Source organism: Homo sapiens, chromosome 2 (assembly GCF_000001405.40).
Source record: "Homo sapiens chromosome 2, GRCh38.p14 Primary Assembly".
Classification (NCBI taxonomy): domain Eukaryota; kingdom Metazoa; phylum Chordata; class Mammalia; order Primates; family Hominidae; genus Homo; species Homo sapiens.
Genome location: NC_000002.12, coordinates 19,928,532 through 19,949,190, shown reverse-complemented (window position 1 = coordinate 19,949,190; position 20,659 = coordinate 19,928,532). Strand labels below are relative to the sequence as shown.

The 20,659-nt window shown below is 33.8% G+C and overlaps 1 protein-coding gene across 6 annotated transcripts in view, besides 1 other annotated feature; it reads left to right on the top strand.

Annotated features, from left to right (window-relative positions):
• WDR35 (WD repeat domain 35) overlaps window positions 1-20,659 on the top strand; it is a 79,843-nt gene that overhangs the window by 40,915 nt on the left and 18,269 nt on the right. For 3 of the 6 annotated variants that reach the window (NM_020779.4, NM_001006657.2, XM_011533007.3), the window contains 12 exons: window positions 974-1,027; window positions 2,621-2,730; window positions 3,195-3,405; window positions 7,352-7,432; window positions 10,790-10,926; window positions 11,245-11,448; window positions 12,826-12,972; window positions 13,588-13,720; window positions 15,680-15,790; window positions 16,744-16,908; window positions 17,782-17,922; window positions 18,639-18,795. In NM_020779.4, the coding sequence (NP_065830.2) occupies window positions 974-1,027; window positions 2,621-2,730; window positions 3,195-3,405; window positions 7,352-7,432; window positions 10,790-10,926; window positions 11,245-11,448; window positions 12,826-12,972; window positions 13,588-13,720; window positions 15,680-15,790; window positions 16,744-16,908; window positions 17,782-17,922; window positions 18,639-18,795 (1,651 nt within the window). Of the gene's footprint in view, window positions 1-973; window positions 1,028-2,620; window positions 2,731-3,194; window positions 3,406-7,351; window positions 7,433-7,465; window positions 7,580-10,789; window positions 10,927-11,244; window positions 11,449-12,825; window positions 12,973-13,587; window positions 13,721-15,679; window positions 15,791-16,743; window positions 16,909-17,781; window positions 17,923-18,638; window positions 18,796-20,659 lie in introns of those variants that run through there. The other 3 variants (XR_426989.4, XM_047445199.1, XR_939699.4) reach the window with 3 other exon arrangements.
• Window positions 15,664-15,713: an enhancer, noted in NCBI's record as "active region_15370". NCBI's record gives its function as "activates an Ori minimal core promoter by ATAC-STARR-seq in GM12878 lymphoblastoid cells {active_cell/tissue: GM12878}" and the evidence as "EXISTENCE:reporter gene assay evidence [ECO:0000049][PMID:35858748]".

Sequence of the window (20,659 nt, the reverse complement as noted above, 5' to 3'; positions counted from 1 at the left end):
ATTAAAAAACATTTTACCTTGAAATAATTGTAGGCTAATAGAAAATTGCAAAAAGAGTCCCTTCACTCAGCTTTCTTCAGTGGTGTCATCTTATGTAAGTGTAGTAGAGTATTAAAACCAGGAAACTGACATTGGCGCAGTACTGTAACTAGACTATGAGCTTATTCAGTTTTCAGTTGTTTTTACATGTGCTAATAGGTGTGCGTGTGTAGGTTTATCTAGTTTTATCACCATAAGGGATCTTATCTCTTTTTTCTTCATTTTCTTTTTTTTTTTTGAGACAGAGTCTTGCACTGTTGCCCAGGCTGGAGTGCAGTGGTGTGATCTCGGCTCACTGCAGCCTCCGCCTCCTGGGTTCAAGTGATTCTCCTGCCTCAGCCTCCCAAGTAGCTGGGCCCAGTCCCATTCTTGTCCCCTGGCAATCATTAATATGTTCTCCATCTCTATAGTTTTGTTACTTTGAGAATGTTTTATGGATAGAATCATATAGTATGTCACCTTTTGAGATTGGCTTTTTCACTAAGCGTAATGCCCTAGAGACTTGTCCAGGTTGTTGCAGTGCAATGCCTTCTTACATTTCCTCAATTTAGTATGTGCTGGCCCTTCTGCTGTCTGTTTCTCTTTTAGGCCTGAGCTCAGGTTTTTGCCTGTCTTGGTGTAAGTTAGGTACTCCTTTCTCTGCACTGTCATAACCTCTGTTTCTGTCTCTTCTTTTATCATACTGTCCTGCAATGAGGTGTTTAGTTCACTGTCTTCCTCAATAGACTTTTCAGTAATCTCTGAAGATGAAGATTTCATCTGAGTATCTCTAGTGCTTAGTTCAGTGGTTGGCACATAGTAGGTGCTCAGCAGTAAATAAATGTTGGTTAAGTTAAGAAATATTGACTGCTTAGTGAATTGCATACTACGTTGTACCAGGTTAGTTATTCAATAAATGTTTGTTGAATAGTAATGATTGATTAATTTATTTTAGGGCACAAGGGATCCAATTTGTGCCATAACTGCATCAGATAAGATATTGATTGTGGTAAGTTTTGCAAAAACTTATTTTATGAATAATAATTCTTTAAATTATAAAAATATGGTAGGAGCCAGGTGTGTGCCCCATGTCTGTAATCACAGTTACTTGGGAAGCTGAAGCAGGAGGATTGCTTGAGGCCAGGAAATGGAGACCAGACTGAGAACATAGTGAAACCTTGTCTCTAAAAAAAAAAATTACAGTAAAGTTTTGAATATCATCTTATGGGCACCCCAAGTTTTACTGTACCCTTAATATAAGTTCAGTATGAGAAATAAGAAAGTTTTAAAGCTTTCCTCGCTAATAATTAACCATTTGCAAAAACAGCTATTTATGAAAGCAGTACAGGGATGACCAGCCGAGAAGACAGAGTACACTTACAGTTTCTAACACTGAGTGGAATGAGCCCTGTGGAAGATTGCATGGTGGTGGGGCAGATTGCATGGTGGTAGTAGGTATTAGAAAGTTTCCTCCTTTGTGTAGCCCGATATTTTATGTTGGAGAAAGTGCTTTGGCTCAGCCACTTTCATAAGACTTAGAATGACGAGGTAACATGTTTGCCAGCCAGTAAAATAGAGAAGCCTATGGCAAATTTCAGCTGAATTTTTCAAATAGAATCAATGGCATAGTGTCTTTTCTTGAGCTCTGAGATTTGAAAATATTAATTTTAGAAATTAATGTTTACTTTTATACAGTAATGCTGCTGGGGTTATTGCATTTGAATTATGTAAACAAAACCTTAATAGTATATATTCTAGTTCTAGTTACATTCCTCAGCCATGAGCTAATTTTATGGGGGGAAAAATCTTAAGAGCATAGTATTTCTATAGTATTCCCTCCTTTCTGATAAGCCCTCATGAGACTCATGCTGCAAAAGCAGTGGTTCTCTGATTAAAAAGAAGAGAGTTAAAGATCAGCTGTGTGGAGGCTTCCACTTTGTCCCACTGCCATGGCCTGAGGCAGCCAAGGGTTTGAAACCCACAGTTCTCTCATGGCATTATACTTACTGTTGATATGTCAACCTTAAGATTTGCCCTGAGTTGTGTACAAAATTATATGCTGCTTTATTTTTTAAACTTATTTAAACTAATATTCATAGTATCCCTGCATTCAGATCATCTTTCCTTTTGCTAAAAACTAGTATCAGATAGATGACTATAGGATAAAAACCTAGACCTTCAGTAACAGCTATATCATATGATCTTCTGTTGATTTTTCATATACATATGTAATTTAACTCAACAAGTACTTTGCTTTAGCTTTTAATGTGCCCTGAATATTAACCTAGATAACAAATATAAATAACTTTAGATTTTTTTTCCTTGTGATGTAAGAATTTGTGTATTGCCAAAGTGCTAGGTTTCTGACTTCTTTCTTGAATATTACATGAAAAAAAATTAGAATACTTCAGCTGTTTGAAAAAGGTTTAATTAAATTAGTAGGTAAATATGTACTTAAGGACATGATTCATTATCAGAATTGAGAATTTGCTGTGACATCACTTTGGTTTTAAGACAAATGTATAGACATATAGAGAAATAGTTGTAGTTTAATATTATTATGATACACGTATGCTTAAGTAATCAAAAGTAATTTCCATAGGGTCGTGAATCTGGCACCATTCAGAGATACAGTCTACCTAATGTTGGTTTGATTCAAAAATATTCCCTTAATTGTCGAGCCTACCAGTTATCCTTGAATTGCAACTCTAGGTAAGCCTGAAAACTCTGCTCATGTAGATGTTAGACTTAGAAATGATCAGTTGGGATTGTTAGATTTATATGTAATAAATGTAAAGATGGGCGTGTCTATTATGAACTTGTCTTAAAATTCAGTATGGTTTTATTTTATACTGCATTTGGTTTAAATGTTTTTAATTGGGCGTGTGGAAGTACTAGTATAATTTTTTACTCTTAAAGCTTAAAAGCATTGAGACTATTTTATATTTCATACCAATTGGTTTTGTCTCTGGATACATTTTCCTCAGAAGAGAGCAAAATAGAGAGTAGTCCATATCTTGTATCAAATTTATTTAACAAAATTTTAAGCCATTTCTACTGTATTCCAGGTTTCTGATAATCTGATTTTGAAGAAGAATGGCTATAGGTAATTATTCTCATGATTGCTGATAGTAATTTTATAGTTTTTTCCTTTTCTCTAATTGCATTGTTTTTAGCCGTCTTGCTATCATAGACATCTCAGGAGTTCTGACTTTCTTTGACTTGGATGCTCGAGTAACGGACAGTACGGGACAGCAAGTAGTTGGAGAGTTGTTAAAATTGGAACGAAGAGATGTCTGGGATATGAAGTGGGCCAAAGATAATCCTGATTTGTTTGCAATGATGGAGAAGACAAGAATGTATGTTTTCAGAAACTTGGATCCTGAGGTAAAAACAAGAAATGAGTGTTAACAGTCTATAAATAATGAGCCAAATATAAAAACCTGGATGATTCCCCTTTGTTTCTTTAAGAAGTTTGTTGAATAGCAGTGCCAACACGGCTGCATGAATTTCTGAAAATAAATAGGAACATTTCTGTGGATTTTAAAAATATTTGGTCTTAGGTGAGAAAATACTTATCTATTAAATATTCTCTACTTTCTCTGAAAGGTACTTCCTAGGCATTTATTTATCTGTTCTTTTTAAAAGGTGGAGCCATGGTCACTAGTCTTTTTTTCCCTTGTCAAACTTAAGAAAACAAAATCAGTAGCCTTATTTACCAGAATTTCTGAAAAGAACCTAATAAAAAAATATAGTTTTCAAATTTCCTTGTCCATTCATTCTTTTCTGTCTCTTTATTCACTTAATTCTGTGCTTACTTTGTCTTATTTATATTTACATTTACCATATCGTTCACAAATCTGTGTTCTTTCTTAACCCAGATATTCTTACAAATATGCAAGTGCAGGCAGGGATTAATCTCTCTTTTGGGTATGAGGAAGTCCCCTTTGTTCTCATTTTTAAGGTTACATTTTGATTTTCTGCTTGTGGCTCACATCAGCTAATTTCTATGCTCTGGATTTTCCTGTCACTTAGTCTACTCTGGCCAACTCTCAGCTGTTGTATTTAGGAAATACAAAATAATCCGAGTGGTAACCTAATCAAAACATCATTAAGAAGATAAATCTTTTAAATGACTTTTGAATTAGTAATGGATTTTCAATTTGGAATTTTCTGTACTTCTGCTGCACTCTACTCTTGTAAATAATAAGGAATAAGTTAATAAATGCTTTATATCATTAATTTCCATTTGTTTGCATGTATAGCTTCCTTCTTGGGAAGAAATTGCATGCTTGGGCCCCTGAGCTGCCAAAGGGTTTCTGGAGTAATTTATTTAGTGGTAAACTGTTTGCCCCTTTAATATCCTAAATTATTTTCACATTTCCCCATTTGAGCCCTACTCAGGAATTTTGGATGTAAAATGCCCTGATGTAAAGTGCTCTCAAAGGCTCTGTTAAAGCTTTTGCAAGTCTTAGGATCTTTGTGATTCTTCGACCCTGAGAAATAGTTCAAAGGAAAGGCATTCAGATTCAGGGCTGCTGCATTTGACCTGTAAGCATGGGCTTCTTTCAAGGGTCCAAGGGAAATTTAATCCTTGCCACAAAACAATTGTGGGAATTTGACAGGTAATCCACAGGATAACCTTGAGGATGGGAGTAGAATACTTTTTGAATGTTAGAGTCTTTTTCTATCCTTAGCCCTGCTCATACTAAATCACAAATCATATGCCTGGAGAAGGGAGAATGTTTGTTGTATCTGGCTGCTCATAATGTGTCTATAGCACACATGGTCAGTCTGGTACCAAGTGAAATCTTTGCCTGGTGGAAAGAGTTTCTTAAGTAGTTTTAACAGAACAGCCTTTTAAAAACATACTGTTTTTTAATTTGAATTTGTTTTCTGGTTTGGCATGTAGTTCGATTTCTGTTAGATTTAGAGCTAGATGGATTTCTTAAAACCTTCCCACTGTCTGGATTTCTTTATAAATGATGCTGTTCTGTTCTTTTCATTCACAAGGACACTGGCTTACTGTGGTCGCAGCTGGTTTAGCTACTCTGCTCATTTGCTTTTCTAGCTGCTTATTGATCATGTAAGAACATGATCTCTTCAAAGCAGGGAAGATCTGTTTTACATACTATTATATTTAATAGTATGTTCCTTAAGGACATAATATTCTATATTATTATTTAGGAGATAAGTTATTGTTTGACAGCTAATAACAATATATTTTTATCCATTTGAGTGTTGTTAAGAATTCTAGATTCATACCTTTATCTAAGCTGTAAATCTTCAGATTATTTGAGAGAAAAAGATGCCATCTGTGTGCAAAGTTTTAATTCACTGATAAAGCACATTTTCTTTGAGAATTAGGAGATGAATATTTAATGTTGATATTCCCTGCTTGATCATTTTCATCTCCAGTGACCCTCTGAAGGTACTGATTGCGCTGTTTTGTTCTTTTTCTTGGCTCTTCCTTCTCATTGGCACTACAATTTCATTTCATGTTTCTTTCATATCTCATAATTTCATCAATCAGACTCATTTTTGTACATTTGCTTCTTTTTCAAACAAGGGGCTCCCAAACTTTTGAATATATGCTCTTATATATACATATTTATTTAGAAATTATTTACATGACCTACCATATTAATATATTATGAATCAAAATAGAAATTTTAAAAGAATGAGAAAAATAAATTATACTGGATGACATAACTTTATTTTTTTAAGTCATGCTAATTGCTATGGTTCATGCTAATGCTACATTAGCTAGTATATCAGCATAATGCACATTTTAGAGCAAGGTTTTGTTAACTTAGTTGATAAAAGTCTCATGTGTCAAATACTCTACTTGATAACTTTGACCTTTTAGCTGACTTTTGGTCAGACCTGATAGGATTGTCATTGTTTTCACGTTGTAATGTGACTGATACAAGAATCTGTGCTAGGAGTAAGAGAGGTGTCAGTTCTGCCTTTTCTTGTTTGCTTGTGCTTGCATTATTAATATTACTTTTAATTTACAAGTTCTTTGCAAGAAGCTTTTTAAGCCATTTGTCCAGTTTGTGAGAGTTAGCTAAAATTAGGTAATACAATCCCTCAATTCACTTAGTTAGGTATATGCAAACCTCAGTATATCACAATATGCTAAAATTGTAGGACAAATAAGGGTACTTCAGGACACTCATTATATGGCACATATTATGAGGCCTTCTGACTTGTGTGCTGGATAAGGGTGCCAATATTTTGTTTGGTGTAGTATAGATTATTAAAGCTTTGGTTACTTTTTTGATAAAAAGAATTATCTTGCATACTGGTTAGGTGAGACCCTGCTGGTCTGAAACTTCATATTTAAATGAAGTGTGTGGATAGATAGCTAATGAATTTTGGAAACTAAAGAAAATTGGTTAATTCCAGCAGAAGTTGAATTTTTAAAATCTGAATTACATAAATGTATTTACTTATGCATTAATAATCAGATTATTTTTCAAACTTTTATTTTTTGATCTCTCTTTCCATCTTTCTCCCTTTCTCTTTGGTAGTATTTTTTTTTTCATGGATCAACTTTTGTGAGTTTATCTTTTGATTATCTTGTTTTGTTGCACTGTCTTGCCAAAAATAAAAAAAAAATTTCTAATGATAAACATGTTTATACAAGGATCTAGGGCAGCTACTTTATAATATGCATATCCTATTCTTTATTTCAACAAGCCTGTATAACACTAAGATAAGAGACAGACATATAACAGTCTCATGCACTTACATATTGGCAAATAAATCTTCTTAAGAGTAGGAGATATATCAGGAATGCACTCTGGCTCATGTTACAGAGGAGAGACTGTTCAGTGTGGTATGGGATTTCTTTGATAGATGGGCTTACATACAAATATAGTGTTTATCAGCTTTATGAAGAATTAACTTTAATATTGAATTGCATGAATTAGAATTTTCAAGCTATATGACTTTTTATTAATTGAGAAAATTGGACTGAATATTACATGCTATTAGGGAATTAACATTAATTATGTAAGGTGTGATCATAGTAATGTGGCCATGTAAGAGAAAATTCTTATGTTTTAAAGATATGTACTGCAGTATTTAGGGATAAAATATCATGATGTCCGTAATTTACTGTATTTACTTTACAATACTTCAGCCAAGAAGTTAAAGGAAGCATATTTACCATAATGCTAATTATTTAGGTTATGGGTATATGGGTGTTAATGACATTCTCTCTTTTGTTTACCTGAAAACTCTGATAATAAAATTTAAAAGCATGATTTGTTAAAAGAGAGGAAATTTTGCATAATGAAACATAACTTTTTTTTTGTCTTTAAAGGAACCCATTCAGACCTCTGGATATATTTGTAATTTTGAGGATTTAGAAATTAAATCTGTTCTTTTGGATGAGATATTAAAGGTAATTCCTAAAAAGTTACATTTCTGTTGCTAGCTTGACAGGGGATTATTTCTGGACCAGGCGGTGTAGTATCCTGGTTAGCAGTGTGGACCCAGGAGTCAGATATATCTCAGGCCCAGCCCTGCTCTCTTATTGTTCAGCCTTTAGGTGGGTGCCACCATCTTTTTGAGCTTCACTTTACTTTCCTGTAAAATGATGATAAAAATGTATAAGTCTCAGTTATTGCCTTTATAAAATACAGATAATAATACTACTTATAGGATTGTTATTATATAAGATAATGTGTGAAAAGCAATTAGCACAATGCTACGGCCAAGTGAGAGCTAAAAAAAATGAGTGCTAATTGTTGTCATTGTTTTTGTAGTAATAACGAGGTACTGAAGAAATATTTAAGAGTTTAGCCTTTTTCTAGTTCTAAGATACTTGAGTAACTTTTTTTTAGAGATCTATCTTTCCATTTTTTCCAGGTTTTGTAAAATAATCCTTTTTTCTCTTTTTAAATTCAAGACATGATTTTGAACCCCTGCATTGGCCTACATTGACCATCCTTTGAGAATTTTTTTTCTCTAAGAATATACTGAGAGAAGTTTTACCTTCATTTTAGCCAAAGCATTAACTTTTTCTATGTAATATATATATAGTTTTTGAATTGAGATAGTAGATTTAAAATTTCCAGAAGTTAGTGGCAATTTGGAACAGGTTTGGGTTTGATATGTAAATCATATTTGGGTTTGATATGTAAATTATGGCTATTTTATTGTGAGCCAGTTTCATTTTCTATATCATAACCACCATGCAGCAATGGGATGGGCCCCCACCCAAAATTTGGTTTGGATGTAAAGATTGATGATACCATAGGGACACCAGGAATGTATCTTCCATAATGAAACTTTTAGGGGAGAGAAGGGCAGGCTTCCCAAGCTGTCAGAAATGGCTGGACAGCACAGGGAAAGGAGACTGGCTTGAGGGTGTTTTTGTTGTTGTTTTGTTGTTTAGTAGTTAGGGAGTGGGTCTGGGGTGAGGCTTTTAATGGATAGGGGCTTATGTGGTTTGAAACTCACTGGTGCCCCAAAGGAAGAAGCATCTGGGCTTTCTCATTAGCTTGCCCCATGTGAGGCAGAGGGGAAGAGGGAGAGGTGAGGTTTAAAAGCTGTCAGCAGCCAACCATCAAAAATGGAGTCTGGGCTGTTATTACCTAGGATTATGTAACCTCCAGATTTGACTATCTGACTCTTCTGTATATGGATAGCACTTTTCTTGTCCTTGTTTAAGGTATATGACTTGTAAAACTAATGAACTTATTTCATTGCCCGTTTAACTTGAATACAGTACCACCAGATAATATTTTTTCCTTTTCCACACGTGTGAAGAAAGATATCTATTGTTTTTTTTTCAGCAGGGTTTCTCTCTGTTGCCCAGGCTGGAGTGCAGTGGTGCCATCATGGCTCACTGTAGCCTCTGCCCCCCAGGCTCAAGTGATCCTCCCATCTCAGCCTCCTGAGTAGCTGGGGTCCCAGGCACAGGCCGCCATGCTTGGCTAATTTTTTGTGTTTTTTTTTTTTTTTTTTTGTAGAGATGGGGTTTGCCATGTTGGTCAAGGGTGGTCTTGAACTCCTGGGCTCAAGTGAAACTCTCATTTTGCCCTCCCAAAATGTTAGGATTACAGGCGTGAGCCACCATGCCCAGCCAGAAGATGTCTTTCTGCTTGTCTTCTTTCCCAAGAGATTTAGGGAAAGAAGACATTATTTATTTATTTCTTTTTTTTTTATTTTGAATATGTGGTTCTTCCAGGGCCCTTTAAAAAGACAGTCATAAGTGGGTAGAATCAAACTAAGGTGACTGAAATATTTTGTCTGCTTTTATATATTTAATGGTTTGATAAAGAGTGAGCTTCTTGAATCCCTAACATTTAGCAAGGATCTGATACAGAGTTGGTTTTCAGAAAGTGTTGGTTAAATTGATTTTTAAAAATGAATACTTTACTGCTTTTAAACAAATGGCAGAATTATATAGAATTCAAGCAAAACAGAAAAGTACTGAAACAAGTTAAAAAAAAACCCTAAATCCCACAACTCAGATATTTTAGTCACTACCGTTAAACATCAGAACATCATTCCTTACAGCTGCAAGTTATATATGGAAATATGGATTTGATAGATTTAGATAGATGAACAGAAGTAATTTTATAAAAATGACATCATTGTACAATCTACTTTTTTAGTGTTAATTTAATTAGATAACCTGAAAGTGAGTTTAAAGGAATTCTAGACTTTTAGATAATATTTTTCCACTGCAAAGAATACCATTTTCCTGGGTTGAGAAGAAAAATTATGAAAAACCAGGTAGTTATTAGTTTAAATTATATTTTAATTTTTAATAGTATTGTCTTTCTACTCTAAAAGATAACATTCTTACATTTTCTTCTTTTTCTCCTTTTGTAGATATATTATTTTTACATTGTCAAGATTTAGAACATTTAAATTTCGTCTTGTAATCCTAATTTCCAGTTGTTTAGTCTTAATAGTTAAATGAATTCAAAGCTATTAGCCAGGCTTTTTACTACATTTTCTCCTTACGTAAGTTCTTAATTTTGATTAATCTTTTAGTTGGCTGGATTTCATTGTTAGTAGTGTTTTTCAAGAAAGGCTCATAATTTCCGATTGCCTTAAGCTCTAGAATGTGTGAAAATGCCTGTGGTGTTGTTGCTGTAATTGATGATTATATTGAATTTTGTGAAGTTTTTTAGATAAAGAAGGCTCTCAGTGGTAAAATGATTTACCTAAAGTTCATCTATTCATTAATTCAGCAACTATTAATTAACAGCCAATAAGACACAGTTCTTGGCCTCAGGTAGAGGAGTTGAGGAGATGGATAAGTAATTCAGTTGCCAGAAAAGAGTTAGGGGTGCTGTGATTCAGTCAGGATGGTACACCTGTTCAAAATTCTGAAGCAGGAGAGCATTAGGTCAGTTCTGAGATGATGAATATTGAATACCGTAAATAGTACAGCTAGGCATTGTGCTGAATCTTTGAGACATGTTATCTCATTTAAGGTGAAAAACCAATCTGAGCAGAGGGAAACAGGGATGCATAACTGTGAGGGACCCCTTCTGCCATTTTCCTCTGTCCCCTTTTCCTCATAGGCCGCCTGATTGCCTCAGAGGTACTTACTTGTGGGTTTTGGTGTTTTCCAGATAACTCAAAAGACCCAAACGTGAAGATTTCTCTTCCTTATTTTGCTCACAATATGATGCCGTTTTTTTTCTTGTTTTGTTTTGTTCTGGTTTTTAATATAAAAAAGAAACACATACTCTAACGGCAAATATTTGAATTTTTTTGTTTTCATCTTTACTTTTAGGATCCAGAACATCCAAACAAGGATTACCTAATTAACTTTGAGATTCGGTCTCTGCGAGATAGCCGAGCACTGATTGAGAAGGTTGGAATTAAAGATGCATCTCAGTTCATAGAGGACAATCCACACCCCCGACTTTGGTATTTAAAAAAAGCAAACTCTCCCAGGATGTCAGGTGTAGGTTTTTAAAGTCTCAGTTTTGTCCCTCTGCTCCCCTACTATCCTCCTGATGGGAGCAGACTTCCATTCTTGCTCTTCTTTTTAAGATGTAGAAATTCATTTAGATTTGGAAGTCCTCAAAATAAGCAGAAAATTATTTGAAAAATGTTTGCATATGTTACTTTCCACCATGTTTCTCTAGAAATAATAGACATAAATGATAATTGAATTGTGATTCAAGACTAGTTTGTCAGTAATTTGCAATATGCACTTATGTTTTTGTTTCTTTTAAAATAAAGGCGCCTACTGGCTGAAGCAGCTCTTCAGAAACTGGATCTATACACTGCAGAGCAAGCATTTGTGCGCTGCAAAGATTACCAAGGCATTAAGTTTGTGAAGCGCTTGGGCAAACTACTGAGTGAGTCAATGAAACAGGCTGAAGTTGTTGGCTACTTCGGCAGGTTTGAAGAGGCTGAAAGAACGTATCTCGAGATGGACAGAAGGTAAGTTATGAAGGCGCAGGCATCCCTGAGTACTCTATCAGTTCATCATTGTATTTTTTACAAATGGAAACTATAAATACGTTAGGTGTATCATATGGTTCCTTTTAGAAATTAATTTTAAGTTTGGATTACAACCTAGATATTCTACATGCCTCTCATTCATTTGTGTTTCATAGTCTGGAGGCAGTTTTCTTCTCTGTTTTTACATCTAATAATGGCTGACTCTGGGAGGTTTTTTTTTCATTTGATGGGAAAAAATGATAGAACAACAGAGACTGGGATCTTTTATATTTAAGACATAGCTCATTATTCCAGTTCTTTCTTTCTTTGTTTGTTTAGGCCATTATTTAATTTTATGTTGTCAAGAGGCATAAAATAAAAATCAGAAGTCGTTAGGGATCGAGATTAGTTCTTTATATTTCGTTTTTGATTTATATAAAATAATGTATGAACTTCATAAATATTTCTTCTTTTGAATTAAAGAACTGTAAGGCCTGTCTCCCTGGCCAGGAATCAAACCCAGGCAGCTGCTATGAAAGCAGATAATCTTAGCCACTGAACCACAAGGCGGAGAGTCTGTCTGAACTTCATTTCAGCTGTTAAGATTGTATCTCATCTTCATTAATGTTATTTATACTCCCAGGAGATCTCTAATATGACTTAGGCTCTGAAAAGTCATATAAAACCACATGTGTTAACACTGTGTTTTGTTTTGAAATAAACCTGATCACATCTAAGAAATTGCTGAAAAGAAATGATTGTTATTTAAATCATTATTTTGCTAAATAAATTGAAAGTCCAGGAAAGTAAAGGCACAACATTCTTTTCCCTGTTCTGGTATCTTAGACCATTTGGGGTGCTATAACAAGATACCTGAGACTGGATAATTTATAAAGAACAGAAATATTTTTCTCACAGTTCTGGAGACTAGGAAGTCTAAGATCAAGGCGTCAACAAGTTTGGTGTCTGTTGAGGGCCCTGTCTCACTTTCAAGATGGTGCTTTGAATGTTATGCCTTTACATGGTGGAAAGTGAAAAGGGCAAAAGGGGCAAATTCTCTGAGGAGTCTTTTATGAGGGCATTAATCAATTCATAAGGGCAGACATAATGACTTCCCAGAAACCCCACCTCTTAATACTACCACAATGGAGATTAAGTTTTAACATGAATTTTGGAGGGGACACACATTCAAACCATAACCTCCAGGTGCTCCTCATTTCCTCTTAGCTAGTCAGGCTAAGTTCCTAAAGTGTTTGGAGAGTCACATTGTCCACTGCTGTGTAGCCTCAGCACCTAGAACTGTACCTAACACACAGCAGGCTCTTGGTAAATATTTGTCAAATAGATGAATGAATGAATGAATGCCTTTGTTTGTAGGGATCTTGCTATTGGCCTCCGGCTGAAATTGGGGGATTGGTTTAGAGTACTCCAGCTCCTGAAAACTGGATCTGGTGATGCAGATGACAGTCTCCTGGAACAAGCCAACAATGCCATTGGAGACTACTTTGCTGATCGACAAAAGTGGTATGTAACTTACCTGGAGCTCCTCAAGCATTCATGCAACACTTAGTAGCTGCCTGAGTACTTCTCTAGGAAGTAATCCTGGGGAAATGAAGATCATTTTCTTGAATTCTAAAATTCAGATAGCTCTAGATTCATCTTGGAAAGCCGGAGATCCTGTGAAGTTGTGAGATGAGCACTATAAAAATTTGTAGTGTATAAACACAAAACTTGTACTTAGCTCCATGCAGCTTTCTGTTTGAGCCTACAGTATATAATTCTAAGGTGTTTTATGTTTTATTTTTGAACAAAGTTTAATAAGTGTTTTTATTTGCTTTATTATATATTATTTTCAGAAATCATTGGCTTTTCTTTTCATTTTGATTAGTATGCTTATTTATGTCAGTGTTTGGGAGTAAAGCGGTGGTATTTCTTAAGAATAGTCAAGGAATGTTACAACTAGAATATGCTTTAGATTTTTTTCCCCATTTATATGTTTGAAAGTTATTCTGAAGCTGAAGATAATGAACAGTAATACTAGTACTGGGAATTATGATGAAGGAACATTTTGGTTGAAAGTGCTTATTTATCAGGAGATTCACATTAGTTTTAAAAGTTTTTCCTTTTTTCTTTCTGTAGGTTGAATGCTGTACAATATTATGTACAAGGACGGAACCAGGAACGCTTAGCTGAATGTTACTATATGTTAGAGGATTATGAAGGGTTAGAGAACCTTGCCATTTCACTTCCAGAAAACCACAAGTTACTTCCAGTAGGTATTGCAAATTTTAGTTTTTGGAATTGTTAGGTTACTTTATAAAATTTTATGTTATAGTCAGGAAATATCTCCCACAATAAAGAAAATTAAAAATCTATAATGTTACAGTTTCTTAGACATGGAATGATGCTTTTAATTATAAAGTAATATATAAATAATATAGAATGCTTGAAAATGGAGGAGGAAAAGTCAGTCACATTCTTACTACTTTAATATGATCACAGTCTTGTGTAGTCTGTTAAGATTTATAAAGTTACTTTTTAAATGTTAGCTGAATACATGAAATATTTACAGATGAAATGATATGTTGCTAGGGATTTGCTTCAAAATAATCTGAAATTGTTTGAAATTTGCTATAACTTAAGTTTAAAAAGATAGCTCAACTTTTATTATGTTATATTAACAATAAAGTATTTCAAGTTAAAAGAGAAATGGAAAGAGTTCTCTTGCTTTCAAATGTTCTTTTAGAGCCTCTTAATTAATTGTTGAATACTGTAAATAAGTTTGTATTTTATGTGTTTAATATGTGAATCACTGAGCCGTACAATACTTGTAGAGCTAGCAGCTCTCAACTGCAGAGTCTGGATGTATATCAGTTGTGAGTTCTGCTTCAAAAATTTTGCCTATTAGTTAATAGATAAGTATAGAATTACGGTAATTCAGTTTTCCCTATTGTGAATTTGAGCGGCTATCTCTGTAATAATGGTATTTTCACTCACCCTTATTTTCAATCCTATGGGTTTTCTTGAGTAGGAAAGAAACTGAAATTACTTAGAACCCTGGGTATAGGGAAGAGTGTATACTCCGTTAGTGTTGTCTGTTAGATGTGTCTGATGATGCCGATAAACATTTTGCTGTAGGGTATCCAGAATAGTAATATTCCTGAGTAAATGCTAAGTAATTATAACTATAATGATAATTAAATAACTAAAATAGTAAAAATTTTAGTATTATAAATTTTAAATAGAGTTATAGAAGAATTTTTAATAATATGGGAAGGTGTACATAATATTTAAGTAGGAAATACAGGATACAAAATTGTGTATTGTGTGATTGTGTACAACACAAACATATACATATATATTCAAAGGACAAAGATGTTAAGAAATTGCACCAGAGTATTGAGAGAGGTTTCTTATGAATGATAAGATTATGAGTAATTTCACTTTTTCATGTTTTGTAATTTTTTTTACAGATAGAATGTATTCCCTTATAATCAGAAAAATATAAGCATTGTTTTAAAAGTTGGATATAAAATATACTTTCATACTTCCAAACATATTGTAGAAGGGTTGGGGAGGGAAAACCTCTGGCTAATTAGATATTCTGAAAGAAAAAAAATGATGTTCTGAAAATGGCCAGTGCAGCTGAACAAGTAGGATTTTTTTTTGTGGTGGTGGTGGTGGTGGTGGTGGTGGTGGTGGTGGTGGTGGTGGTGGTTCTTCCTCGCTGCCACCACTTTCCAAGAGAGCTCTGTTTTGGGTCTAGCTTCCTGAACTGATTAATGGCAGACTTCTCTAGGACATTTCTTTATAGAGGTATTTGAGGGCTCTGTGAATGTGAGATTTCCCTTAAGTCTCTAGTTAATAATTAGCACTGAGTATACCACCAATTGATATAAAGGCTTTTTTCACCCACTGGTGGGGGATTTGTTTTGGAGCTTGACATTTCTGTATACTAGCTACTGAACTGAGATAAGAAAGGAGTGCAGTGTCTTCAGGGCCTCGTTAAAAATCAGATCCACAGCCTGAGCCAGTGAAGCTCTGGATTTATAGAAGTGATGCCTTAGCATCCATTCTCATTTGTACCCTCTGCCCTTGCGTCTGTTTACAAGAAAAATCTGTAACTACCAGTAAATTTAATACTCATACGTCCCTACGGAGTTTTGTTAAATTAAAATATAAGTAATTTCCTTGGTCTGTGAAATCTGATAGTATTGTTTTGTTTGTACAGGAAATAGCACAAATGTTTGTCAGAGTTGGAATGTGTGAACAAGCAGTGACTGCATTTTTGAAATGTAGTCAACCAAAGGCAGCAGTAGATACCTGCGTACATCTCAACCAAGTAGGAACTGAAACTTTCTGTCTGTGCAGCTTATTGTCTTAGGAATTTTTAAGTCAAAGCAAGGTTAAAGTCACCCTAGTGATCTTTTAAAGATTATTGCCAATGTAAGGGTTGGAGAGCCTGACGTGAATTTTATGAAAGGAGCCAGGCGGGTATTCTCTTAATTGAGGATGAAGAAAGTTGCACTTACCTCTTAAAGTGCTACCATGAGGGGTGACCCACTTATAACCAGCTCAGTATGGGAGCATGAACAAACCTTGTGCTTTTAGTCTGGCAAGTTTTTGTCTGGAAGTAATTTCATAATTTTCTGCATTTTGTTAGGGTTGGGTTTTGTTTCCAAAGAAGGACCAGTTAATGGTTGGTCATTGCCTGAGGAAGGAATTGAGTTACTTTATCAATATTTATTTTGGCAAATCTGTTTTCCTTTTCCTTTATAGAAAACATACATTTGATATTTTTAAGAGCTGAAATTAAACTAAAAGTACAGCGTTATTATAGAAACTATTGACTATTAATGTATTCTTTTAATATTTTTCTTATTTTTTAAAACCCCTTTTGCTTTATAAAAATAATTTTTAAATGTCAAATCTGATAGGACATTTTCACAACTGAAATTGCATATTTTGTTTTACTATAACATATAAACAAGTGTATCTTTCTTGCTTGAAGTTTTGTAAGATTAGAATTACAAGATTAATATGATTATAAACTTTGAAACTTTCATTTTCACATGTATTTCTTAAGCAAATCAGAGTCTTAGAGATCATTTAATCATTTTGACTTATGCTTATAGGACTTATGTTGCTGTGATTTTAAATGCTATTTTTAAAACATACCAGTTTTTAATTTTGAAATAGTGTTTTTACTATAAACTTAAAGCTTTCTTGTGTGAATTTTATGATATATGTGACTGTAAATACTTGGGTGACTGAATGGTGTAATTTTTCTCCTAGTGGAACAAAGCTGTTGAATTGGCTAAAAATCATAGTATGAAAGAAATTGGATCTCTGTTAGCTAGGTATGCATCTCATTTACTGGAAAAGAATAAAACTCTTGATGCCATAGAACTCTATCGGAAAGCCAATTACTTTTTTGATGCAGCTAAACTGATGTTTAAGGTAATGTAAAAATCTTGGTGAATAGTTGATTTGTTCCAGTCACAATATTTTAATATATGAAAGAGCATATTCTCCATTTTCTTTGGAAACAAATATTTATTACAGCAAAACCACTCTGGTTTTATTGCTTCTGTATACATTATTTTAGTATTATTGCCTTTTACCAACAAAGATGTTTATTAATATTAGCAACTTACTAATACCTAAACAATTGTATGTTGAATACTGGAGTTAACAAAGAGTTAAAGAAATTACTGAGACTGCAAAGTACAAATTTCTACAACAGGGAATTAAATTTTGTTGATAATAGAGTTTTAAGTTCTTTTAAATGTACAAGTTTTAAATATTACGCTTTACATAATATTTATTTGGAGGGAAGATAATTAGTACAGTATTAATGTATACACATTTTACCTTCTATTCTATTCCCATTTGATTTAATGAAAAAGGAAAAATATCTCTTAAAATCATTTAAATAAGTTTCAGCTTCTGAAGGATGCACCATGTTAACACTATCATATCTTTGTGTACTTGGAACATTATTTTAAAAATCTCTGTATTATGGAAAATACCAGCATTTCATCAATACTTTCTTTATTCTGATTTAGTTATCTAACAGCACCTCTCATTTTCTAAGAGTGATCTGAATTCCAACTCCTAGGGCTAAATACTAAGGAAAGAACTAAATACGAATAGGTACTAATGAAAAGAAGATAGGTTTTAAAATATTTATCTTAAATAGGTGATATTTATATTCCATCTTACTGATTTTCCTCCTTTTTTAGGGAATCAAATTTGTTAGTTTTGGAAATGATTGTATTTGTACAAATATAGATAAGAAGTAACTTCCCTCAATTTTGAAAAATGTTTAAGATTGCAGATGAAGAGGCAAAGAAAGGAAGTAAACCTTTACGTGTCAAGAAGCTCTATGTACTGTCAGCCTTACTTATAGAGCAATACCATGAACAGATGAAGAATGCCCAGCGAGGAAAAGTTAAAGGAAAAAGTTCAGAGGTAAAGTAGCACGTTAAATAACATTACATCATTGGAAGTGTTTAAGAAAAAAAAAAAAAGAAACTATTAAACTTCTTTTATGGATAGGTCATTTAATTTGCATGTCTGCATTTGTTTCCTTAAATGATATGAAGAAAAAGAATGACTGATTTAGAATTAGTATTCAAATTCAGAAATTTCTACCTAGAAATATTGAAATTGTTTTTCTGTAATACTAATCTGTAGTCTTTGCTTTAATGTCTTATTTGTTAAAAAATTTTACTTACCTGGGAAATCTTCCTTTCTAATCAGTGAGTTTTAAAACTTTCCTAGATATATTGTTGTAATGCGTAAATGAATGTCTGATTAACTTAGAATCTAATTAGTTATATTTTAAAATTTATTCATACCAGTTTAACAAACTATGAATTATAATAAAAAATTAAATCTGTTTTGGGTGCAGTGCTCACACCAGTGATCTCAGTGACTAGGGAGGCTTAGGTGGGAGGATCACTTGAGTCCATGAGTTTGAGACTGCAGTGAGCTATGACCACGCAGCTGCATTCCAGCTTGGGTGACAGAGTAATACCTCATCTCTTAAAAAAAAAAGTCTGTAATCATAGTTTTGTAATGATAAAATCTGCTCATTTAGATACTTTAATGACTGTTGTTATTTGGGAGTTGACACTGTGTGTGCGTTTGTGCTGACGGAAAGTGTGGGCTGACTTTACTCGTAGGCCACTTCTGCCTTGGCTGGTTTGCTGGAAGAAGAAGTTCTGTCTACAACAGATCGTTTCACAGATAATGCATGGAGAGGGGCAGAGGCTTACCACTTCTTTATACTTGCACAGAGGCAGCTCTATGAGGGATGTGTGGACACTGCACTGAAGACAGGTGGGCATGTCACCTAATGTGTATAGTATGTCTGAAAATTATAAATTGAGTATGAAGGGCTAGCTTCTTCAATTTGCCTTTATGTGGCCTTCAATAACATTTTTTCCTATGGATTTATTTTCCTATGTTTGAGTCTTATGCATTCCCATTTTTGAAGTTTTTTTTAATACAGAGAAAACACATAGTTCACAGAAATGTCAGAAATTTGAGATAAGCAAAAAGAATGTGTATAGCATTCATATGGCTAGCCATTCAAAGTTAAATACTTCATAGCCAAGTTCATATTTTTTGGAGAAAAATATATATACATATATCTATTAAATATATTTAATACATATATTTAAATACATAAAATATATTTAATACATACATTCAGATAATTTTATTCTTTACAATATCGGGAGTATAACATGGCATACTTTTATGTACTTTTTGAAAACCACGTTTTAAAATATTTCCATATTTTACATATACATTGCTATAGCATTTATCTTGTGTTTTATAAAAGTGATACTTAGCTAATAATTTCAACCAAAACAGAAAAATATGAAGAAAAAGTAAAATAATCTAACAATTTGTAAAATAATCCTATAACTCAGAGGTAATCATTGCTAAGGTTTGGGTAAACTTCCTTTTAGATGTTTCTACATGCAGGAGCATGGTTTTTTCCCTCAGCAGTATATTATAGTTCTTTCCTCATTCTTAAACAGAGATCTATATAAACATTCTACCTAATATTCCATGGTATTTGTATACTGTAATTGATAGAAGATTATTTACATGTAATATCAGGATCTCAATTTCTTCTTAACAATAACAATATTCTAGAATTTAGATATATGAACTCCAGAGAGTGTAATTATGATAATTATGTTGTAAGCCAAAGCATATGAATGACTAAATCATTACTGGTCTTTCAGCTTGGCCATGGCAAGCACTGTCATGACACCCCACCCTTCCTCTGTCATATTGGTGACATCATCCATTTGCTGCTCACATCATCACCATATGCACATCACACTCTAATCCTAATACATCATGAATCTGTATTCCAATGGCATGATATTAAAAGAAAACTTTTAGAGAAATTCTTTTATTTGAATATTTCTGGAATTCTATAGTGATGATTTTTATTTTTAATTATTTTTATAAGAGCTCTTTAGAGACCATATGTAATAATCGTCTTTCATATATATTGATTTTCCCTAGCATTTATAAGTTATAGTTACTTGATCCTTTCTAAGCTTCAGTTTCTCTTTGTGTAAAGAAAGGATAATAGTATCTTCCTCAGCCGGGTGCAGTGGCTCATGCCTGTAATCCCAGCACTTTGGGAGGCTGAGGCGGGTGGATCACAAGGTCAGGAGATCGAGAGCATCCCGGCTAACACGGTGAAACCCTGTCTTTACTAAAAATACAAAAAAATCAGCTGGGTGTAGTGGCAGGTGCCTGTAGTCCCAGCTACTTGGGAGGCTGAAGCAGGAGAATGGTGTGAACCTGGGAGGCGGAGCTTGCAGTGAGCCGAGATCGCACCGCTGCACTCCAGCCTGGGTGACAGAGCGAGACTCCGTCTCAAAAAAAAAAAAAAATAGTATCTTCCTCATAGAGTTATTGTAATGATTGAGAAGTTCATGAAAAGAAAACTCACTTATTATGCTGCCTGGACATTGTGAGCCCTCAATAAGTGGTAGCTGTGATGATGATATTAATAGTTTTTTTTATATAGTCATGTCTGTCAGTCTTTTACTTCATATTTTTCTCTTAGGAATCATGCTTAGGAATTCCTTCAAGTTTGTTAAATATTATGTTTATTATAACATCTAAGTTATCCTGAAACCATATATTAGGTTTATTCTTTCTTAACAGA